Source organism: Homo sapiens, chromosome 12 (assembly GCF_000001405.40).
Source record: "Homo sapiens chromosome 12, GRCh38.p14 Primary Assembly".
NCBI classification, from domain to species: Eukaryota; Metazoa; Chordata; class Mammalia; order Primates; family Hominidae; genus Homo; species Homo sapiens.
This window is the reverse complement of record NC_000012.12, coordinates 90939386-90948669: the sequence shown is the minus strand read 5'-3', so window position 1 is coordinate 90948669 and position 9284 is coordinate 90939386. Positions and strand designations below refer to the sequence as shown.

General features: G+C 34.8%; 1 long non-coding RNA gene across 1 annotated transcript in view; it reads right to left on the bottom strand.

Annotated features, from left to right (window-relative positions):
* Positions 1 to 9284, bottom strand: part of LINC00615 (long intergenic non-protein coding RNA 615) — a 30647-nt gene continuing 21363 nt past the window's right edge. Inside the window, exons 3-5 of the long non-coding RNA NR_038868.1 lie at positions 8310 to 8521; positions 2179 to 2246; positions 1 to 1015 (exon numbers count right to left, since the gene is read on the bottom strand). This is a non-coding gene — a long non-coding RNA (long intergenic non-protein coding RNA 615). The remainder of the gene's footprint in view (positions 1016 to 2178; positions 2247 to 8309; positions 8522 to 9284) is intronic.

The window sequence follows — 9284 nt, the reverse complement described above, 5'->3', positions numbered from 1 at the left end:
CCTAATATTACCACTTTATTGAAGGTTCTGTTTTATGCTACACTTAAAATTAAGCTCATTGTAGATTAAGATACAGTTACAGATATATGAAAATGCCAAACAATATTTAATGCCTGTTGTAAGTCACTTATGTAGAACAGTTAAACTATCAAAATGTAGACGTTAGATTTCAAAACACATTTGAATACATGCAAGGTGGTTAATATACATTATCACATTTAAACATATAACTGTCCTATGAACTAATGCTTTATCTCCCTTTTTATAGATAAAATACCTGAAAATCAAAGGAAATTGTTTCGAGACCCAAGTCCTCAATTTTGTTAAAAGCTGTAGGTACACTGTGTTACTTGAACATTCTGTTATTTTATTTCAAACAACCTATCTAGAAACAAAACTTCCTTTAATAAATTTGACCTGAGTCCAAGGAGGGTAGGCACCTAGAGAGGAGATACTTAAATCCCTGTTTCAATTATAATTCTTATGCTAGCGCACACAAATGTCAAGAGTGTGATATGCAAGGTGTAATTCACCCTTGCCAGGCCACTGGGCTGGAATCAGTCATCCTAGAGTATAAGTGCTTTTTGTGGTCAGGAGGAATTAGAAGAGAGTTATTTGGAGGATCAAGACACTGAAGAATATACTGCTTGAAAGGTGCTTGTATTGGTTCGAGCCCAGAGAGTGGGACCAACAAACAATACAAGGCGGTGTGGAGCAACATGCTGTTTTAACGAACGCCTGGCTGCAGGCGGGCTGAGGCCTAAGATGGCGTCAGCCCCAAGTGAGGACAGGACAGGGGTTTTATAGTCCTCTGTAAACAGGAAGTGTCCCAGTCTGACATGACTGCTACGTAGTACACGATGGCCTCTTTCTCTATCTTCAGGGGTACATGTCTTCCGGCCAGGGTAGGTGTCTTCTGGCCAGGTAGATGTCTTCCGGGCAGCTCTCGTCCTGCTTTTGCTATCTTGCTGATGCACGCTGCTGGCGCAAGTGGTCTTGCGTCTTGGGACTGGGCCTCAGAAGAGAGGAGTTATTCATTCCCTTAAGCTTTCAGGCCCTGCGAGAATCTTTTACTGCTCTACCTATATATTGCTGCATGGTAATATGATCTAGTAGTTCTACTACAAGGGGCAGGGGGAGAGGCAGGGAGGGAGTGTTGGAGACAAATGTATTCCTGGAACAAACTACATTTAAATACTTCTCTGGCATTGCCTTAAATCAAGTATACTTTCATTTCAAGATAAATCCAGTCAAGATGGGTATAACAAGTGCAGAATTTAACTTTTAGATGTCAACCATTTTAGAAATCCGCTTACATATAAATACTTGTATAAATAGAGGTACATAGCAGAGTTTCTCTAACAGAAAAATCCTATATTCAGAAGGATTCCCAAGGGGAGTGACTGACAATTGCCCTCCTTGAATAATGGGCAGCTATAGGATACTACATAATAGAGCTAAAATGTTCTCTGTAACTATGAACACTAGGTCCTAATGCCCTACAACTTTGAGCCCCTAGTGACTTTTGACAACTTGCTAGGGTCATTTCTCCACTGCACATGCTATAGTACCCTAGTGGGTCTACCTTAGTATAACAAAATTATTTCCAACATGTAGACCATGCATGTATTTCTGACTCATTTCCAACTACTAAAGTATCTATAATTATCTCAATTATTGTAAAATTTAACATACAAACAATGGCTTTAAATAAAAAGCTTGTAGACTTTGTATGTTGAAAGGTCATCAGCTCAAATCTTTTATTCCTCCCTTCTTTTTATACAGAAAATATATTAATGTTTTCTATATGAAGATCACATGCAGAACTGTTTTTTACAATTTAAAATACATGGTCGTATTTCCCTCAATAAGAAGTTCTAGTTTTAATTTAAAAAAAAAAATTGTCCTGCCCAGTGCAATGGCTTATGCCTATAATCTCAGCACTTTGGGATTGTATGAGCCCAGGAGTTTGAGACCAGCAGGGGCAACATGGAGAAACCCCATCCTATCAAAAAAAGTAATGTTTGTTATCTGAGGCATTGTAACCCATGGCTGTGGTCTCAGCTACTCGGAAGGCTGAGGTGGAAGGATGGCTTGAGCCCAGGAGATGGTGGAGGTTGCAGTGAGCAGAGATGAAGCCACTGCACTCCAGCCTGGGTGACAGAGCAAGATGCTTACCTTGAAAAAAAAAAAAGGAAGGCTTTTGTTTTTGACCACAGATTCCACCAACTGGTCCTAGTTTTGCACTATAGGAAAATAAACAAAGGTATTATATTTCAAACACAAAAAGGACTTGGCTGTATTTGGACTATCTTTTGGAGAAGCTCCCCTACTTATTTACACCATTGTTCATGTTACATAGGTTTTGACTTACCTTCTTTCTAGGCTGCTTGTTTCATTCTAAATCTATTTCTTTTTCTTTTTTGGATGTTGCTTTTAGAATGGTTATTCTCAACTTAAGACACTAATCACATACTATCCATGCACTCTTCTCATGAGCTGGACACTGTGTTTCTATCTAGCTATTAACCTTGTGCTGCCTAAATTCAATACTGTGATTTCAATAAATAAATACAATGCAATATTTAGTGAAGCATAGACAGTACCAAGAGTTGTAATAAAATTTTAATGATTACTGCATGTTCTCTTACTTTTTGATTTCTTTCAAATTCTATTGGTGATATTTTATTATCCCAGGAAGGTTATTTTGTGTAAACTTTTAACACCTAAGACTAGAAATCCACATTTCTCTTTAAAAATTTAGATTTGACATTAACTGGCATTTTTAGCTGTTATTTAAGCTATTAATATTGGCATCTCCTGATGGTTTCAGAGGGCATTTGAAATTTTTATAATGATTGATAGTTCTGTTATCATGCATTATTTGTGTATCCTCTCCTAAATATATTTAGATTTTTAGCATGTCAGTTTTAGGCCTAGTAATTTAAGACTCTTAACTGGTGTTAATTTACCATTTATCACAAAAATTTCTATTAGACTACACATTTCATATGACATTTATCATTAAATAGTACCACCAAAAGCAGAATTTTAATGCTGCCATATATAATTACAGTTCTTATTTTTTATTAATTTTTATTGATTGCAGAATTTCCTTGAACTGGGAGATTATAATATAGGATGGCAAGCTGAGGTCAAGACTAAGTGGCTGTATATGTTCCCCTGGCAACCCCCAGTGGATTTTTCCAAAATCAATGTTCATCATTTTTTTAAAAAGAATAATGAGTATTTAATGTTTTCCCCTAGTCTTAAAAAAATTTTGTGAATTCTACATTATTTCCTGAACAAATATTTAAATACAAAACAAATTTAATAAAATGGCTTACTTTTCTCTCCTTCACTGTCTATATTGCCTTCTTATGTAGAACTTATGCTCCACAACTATTAATATATAGGTGCCACCTAGTGGCAAAGGCAAAACATTTAAATGTAAGCTAATGATAGATGAGCTGTTGTACTATATTCACAGATGCATTTTTTAGAACACATAATACATTAATACAAATGCAAAAAGAGTACTGTAATGGTATTGTGACAAAGCACCGTATTAAGATAGATATTTAAATTATTTATTTGAATATGCTGCTATACGGCTTGGTGTTTAAAAGTTAGTATCTTTTTGAACTATAAGACTAAGCCATAAACATAAATTACCAAAGTGTGTGAAGGAAAGGGGGAAAACATTGGCCCAGAAGAATCCTTGTATGTCTGTGGATTATTATTTTGATAAAGTTATAATAATTTTATTCCATGAATCATATTTTATCTGAAGGTGTTTCTACAATACTTCTGTCTATTCAAATTCCTTTTGACAGTAACACCACTAATTAACATTCACAATCTGCACTGACAGTGTATTTGTTTTCCTTTAAATAGTGACAATAAACAAGACAATTATCAAATTTGAAATTGCTAAACTAAATAATGCTTAACACTTTAATCTCAAGCAATAAAAATGAGAGTATGTATCCATTGGCCTGGTAGTGAAAGCAGGACTTGTGATAGTCAATCACCTCCTGGGACTCAAACATGGTGTAATGATCATGGCCACTAATTAGAGTACATCTTGTTAGGGAAAGAAACAAACTTGCTTGTTTGTTGGTCTGGCACCCAGAAGATAATTAATATTTTTATTGCTGCCTGATTCCCAGCTCTTTCCAGCTGCTATCTAGGTCTAGTGGGAGCACAAATCAATGCTACGAGCAGGCTCTGCCTTAGCCTGAGAGATAGTTTCTGCCTTTACAACTGCCTTAGTGATGCATTCATCAGTTCTTCCACAGCGCTTCTAGAAAGAGGTGCTCTGTACTTCTTGCTTTGTACTTCCTTAACACTTCACTTTATTGATACTTCCATTATCCTTTCTAAATTATCGTTAATTACCTGTGGTTCTCTTCTGTCTAAAAAAGGTTATAGGTCAAGGAATTGATCATCTTTCTACTTCCAGTGCACAATCTTGCACATAAGAAGCCCTTAATACATAATTTCAATATTTAAAAAAAGAATAAAATAAAAATAAATCTATGAAATGATCTATGATTCTTAGGTAGTTCCAACAGAGAAGCATAATTACTTATCCATGTGTGTACTAAAACCTACTTCATTAGGAAAGCAGAAGAAAGAGTAAGTAGAGACTCAGCCACATCTCTTGTGCTCTAAACTGTGTGGTATAATAGCCCTGTCCTCATGCATAGATTTGCACAGGAACTGAACACAAAATTTTTTAATGTAACAAGAAGCTCTTGGTTCCAACTTGCTGGGCCACAGAATCACCATGAGTATAAACCATCTTAAAAATGCTCATGGCAATGTTCCTGTTTCTAAAAGGCACATGAAAATACATTTTTAGATTATTATAATTTTACAATTTGGAGTACCTGGTGAAGCTTAACGTAGCCAACACTTATTTTATTCTGTTTCACTTTGCTGAGTGTTTACCTTGTGTAGGACCTGTGCTAAGAACATATGCTTAGTTTAGCAGTGAGAAAGCCAATGCTAAGAGCTCTTGACCAAGTTACCCAGGATCCCACAGCTAATAGGTGACAGAGGTTGGAAACCACATAGTCTGTTTCCTTATATCATTAAGTCCACTCTGAAATGGATGGGAGTGTGATGAAATCTTAGATTCAGTTCAGATTATTCAAGGACATAACTTTGAGTCAATAGCCAAAGCCAAACTTTTGCAGTCATACCGCATATTGTAATGCTGTCCTGGAAAAAGTGCTGAGTCTCAGTAATTGATGTCCAAAAGTTCTGTGATAAATTATTTATGTGATGAGACATTTTAAAGAGAGTAAAGAAGCAGAGTGCAAAACTGTGCTAGAATATTCACATCATTAAAACTGTTCCCTGGCCCCTTTTCCCTTTCTTCTAAGGTGAAAGTATAAAGTTCACTCTGATTGCAGAATTCTTAATTCTCTAAATTAGGAATCAGCCTTTACTAATGGAAGTAGGTAGAAATGGAAAACTGCTAGCTACTGGCAGGAGAAGAGCCCAAGAGCTGCTATGTGGCAGTCACAATTAGGAAAAAAATAAAATACAGTATAAAAGCAAAGTAATAGCACTATCTGGAGGTCTGTTGAAAGAAAATGGATATAATGAAGAATGAAAGTTAAAGGTTGAAAAGATTTGCCATGAAAGTATCACATTTCAGGGCAGGCAAAAATCTAAATAAACAATATGGATTAGATTTAGTGAGAAATAAGAACTCGTCTAAGAACACTATTATAGGTAAGATATTATAACTCCTATTTCACTAAAAGTACCATCAGATTCAGCTAGAAGTAAAGGAAAAGACAGAGAGTTTAAATGTTGGTGTACCTTAAAACATATTCACCTTGCAAAGTGAAGATAATTAGTGCTTCTTGAATTTAGCGTAGCTAAGGAATGTTACAGATGGATTGCCAAATAATTTAAATGATTTTAATAAGCAGGGATAAAATATCAAGTTTACTTATCCAGGTATATAAATTCATCTTAGTTCATCAAAGAATCTTTTCTATTCCATGATCAAATATACTACTGATTTCTAAAATTTTATATCTATATATAGAGAGATATACACACAATATGTATATATATACACAAAATAAATAATTACATACATATAATTTCATATGACATAACAGTTTCCTTTGGTGTACCTCTAGCTCTTGATTATCTATCAAGATGATTATGGCAGGGATAATCTCAAAAGGGATAGAATAATTCATATTTACCTTTACCTTACAAAGATTAACTATGCCTTCTACAGTAGACTCATTTTTTTTGTGAGAGGGTTATAGATTCTATAAGCATATACTTAACGCAGGGGACAGGCCTAATTTGAGGGGCTATTTATTCATTCATTTACCCATTGTGTCGCATGTTCCTTCTAAATGCCAGGCATTCTTCTAAATGCTATTGATACATCTAGGAGTTATATTCAAATTGTTTAACCACTGGTTCTACGGGCACCAAGTAATCAGAACAGACACTGCTCAAATAGCACCTCAGGAATAATTGTATATAAAAATACTCACTGTTACCAAGAGGTTTTCCACTTAATGGGGAAGACTGAGTTAACAGGCAGTCACTAGACAGTTTGACAACTGTTCTAATAATTGTAAACACAGCATACATAAAACTTTTTCAAATAATCCCTTAAGTTTTTCCCTATTAGACTCTTGCCTACTTTATAATCTTGATGCATTAAAATTTATGATCCAAAAGTATCTAATTAACCAAAAATTATCTTCAGAGCATGTGATTTAATTTAAAATTATACTTTGACTTTTTAGAAAGTTGATTTTGAAATTAGTAGCTTGTTTTTATAAAACAAAACATAAATTTTTCATGGCTGCTAAAGTATCCATTTCAACTTAAAGATATGTTGCATTCTTTCAAGTTCCCATATCTGCAACATAGCATGTAAAGATTATAACGTGGATCATATTTTATGTTAAATGTGCTTACAGAAAATGCAGTGATTCTCTAAGACATTTATCAAAAACATCAGAAATTCAAGTACAGTAAAATAACCCATTTTTACTTGAATGAACCAACTAAATTATTTCCCACTTTACTTGCCCTCATTTGGAGATCTTGTTATAAATTCTCAGAAACAAATAAATGAGTTTAAGGAGAAACATCTTTGTTAATTTCTGAGGCTTAATTGAGATAGAAATTCTTTTACATGTAAGAATCTTAACAATTGTACTAATTAAAACTATTATTTTTAATTGTAAAAATTGTCAAAAATATAAGTTTTATACTCATAATCAGATGGATATCTATTTTGTAAAAAATTCTATATTCAAAAATCTCTCTGGATATGGAGAAAGTCATTAAAATCAAGCCCTAATGAATAAACAAAAGCTACATGCAGTTCTGTGTTAGAAATAACAATAAAATTGTGCACAAGCACACTTTCTAGGTCTACAGGGTAGTCTATTTTTCCTAGGTGGCCCACCACATTTGCTGAAATATGACACAGTTTTGCATATTTTTTTCCTTAAATACATACGCCATTAGATATTACGCAGCATATGTGGTGCATTGCAGATGTTGCATTAACTCTTGTTAATTTCCCCTAGGTGGCGATCTTTTCAAAGAAGCTGTACAGGCTCTTCCATGTAAGAAAATTGAGTTAATATAAATGTATATATACCCCACTCTAGCTATTAATAATACTACCTTCATCTACACAGAAGGGAAATACAATTTTTTGGTGGGGACACAATATAAATTTAAAGCCTCTTCTCAAAAACCTTACAAAACTGGATATATAGATATTATCTACTTTAAGAACTTAAATGTCTGTTGGAGAAAAGATATTTCAAAAATGTTAGTTCTGGGATATTGGTTAATTATGGATGTAGCATGATAAATCATACTAAAATTTTAGTTTCTGGACTCATTGCTTACAGCTTTTTTTCCTAAAACTCCAACATTGTTGTTTAATGAAATAACAATGGGTTTCATCCACCTCTTTAGAGTTATAATTGTTGTTGCTGTTTTTCATGCTGTTCATAGCTGCTCTTTTGTGACAGCTCCTTTAGGTGGGGTACCCCACTGGTGAATGAAACAGGTGACTAGGCAAGGTTAAGCCCGCTTACATCTTAGCCCATTCCGTAATATATTGAAAGACAGGAGGAGACATTAAAATAGAAAAACAGACTACTTAGATGTAGATAAATGATATGGAGCAGAAAATATTCTAAAATTCAGAAGAAAAAGACCTTTCTTCCTATTCAAGGAGTCTACTTACTTCTATATTTATATAGAACATATAAACCTTCTGAGACACTCACCTATACACACTTGACATTTGTATATATAAACTTAGCCTTCCTCTGCTTTGGAACATCACCTCTTGCTTTTGCTTCATTTGTTATTTTAAATTTTCCCTTGCTCCACCCTAAGGCTTTAACTGTCAAGAGATGTGAGGCTGGCAGTGATGACGCATGACTGCAGCTTCCTTCTCCTAAATGCAGCCACAGAGCAATCAAAGCATCCCATAAGCCTTCAAAAAAAAAAAAGGGTATAGAATTAAAATAACGATATTTGCTATTTGCAAAGAAACTTTATATTAATTATGTACTTTGACATTTGCAACAGCCCTGAGCAGTCAAAAAGCAGGAATCATCATCATCCCCATTTTACAGATAAACCTGAGAAGAATTAAGGTCTTTCATTAGAGTTAAAAAGTTGGCCACTGGAAACCCAAGACTCAAAGAATTTTCTGATTCCTTTGTAAGTTCACTAATGTTTTGGCTGTAACCAGCTCTTCACAATTAGACTCATACTATGTCTCCACTGCCTTCCCTTGGCTTCGTCCTGCTCACAAATAACATGAGTTTACTCCTGTATTCACTATGAGGAGTGGTTTCAAATTTGAAGTGAAGTGTCTAAATAGCCCCTGGGAAAGGATTTATTGAAGCAACTTATAAGAACCTCTCAACTCTATGTTTGGTACCCTGAGCAGAGGCCATGGGCAATAGAATTAAGCACTGGAGTTCAGTGTACTTACTAAAATTTTGGCCAGAGTTCCATTTGGATCTTTGACAGACTAACTTCCTGTATCTTGCAAACTTACCCTTGGCCACTTTTCAAAATGTTAAGTTCATCAGCTCCATTATCTCAATGTATGAATCCATCCTCCCATAAAGTCTTGTTGATGTTCCTTTTTCCCAACTCTTCACCATTGCCTGCCTTCTCTACTCTTTCCACTGTGACCTTTGGAAACCTCCAATCAGAACCAGCTGCAAAATTTGTGGAGCCCAGCG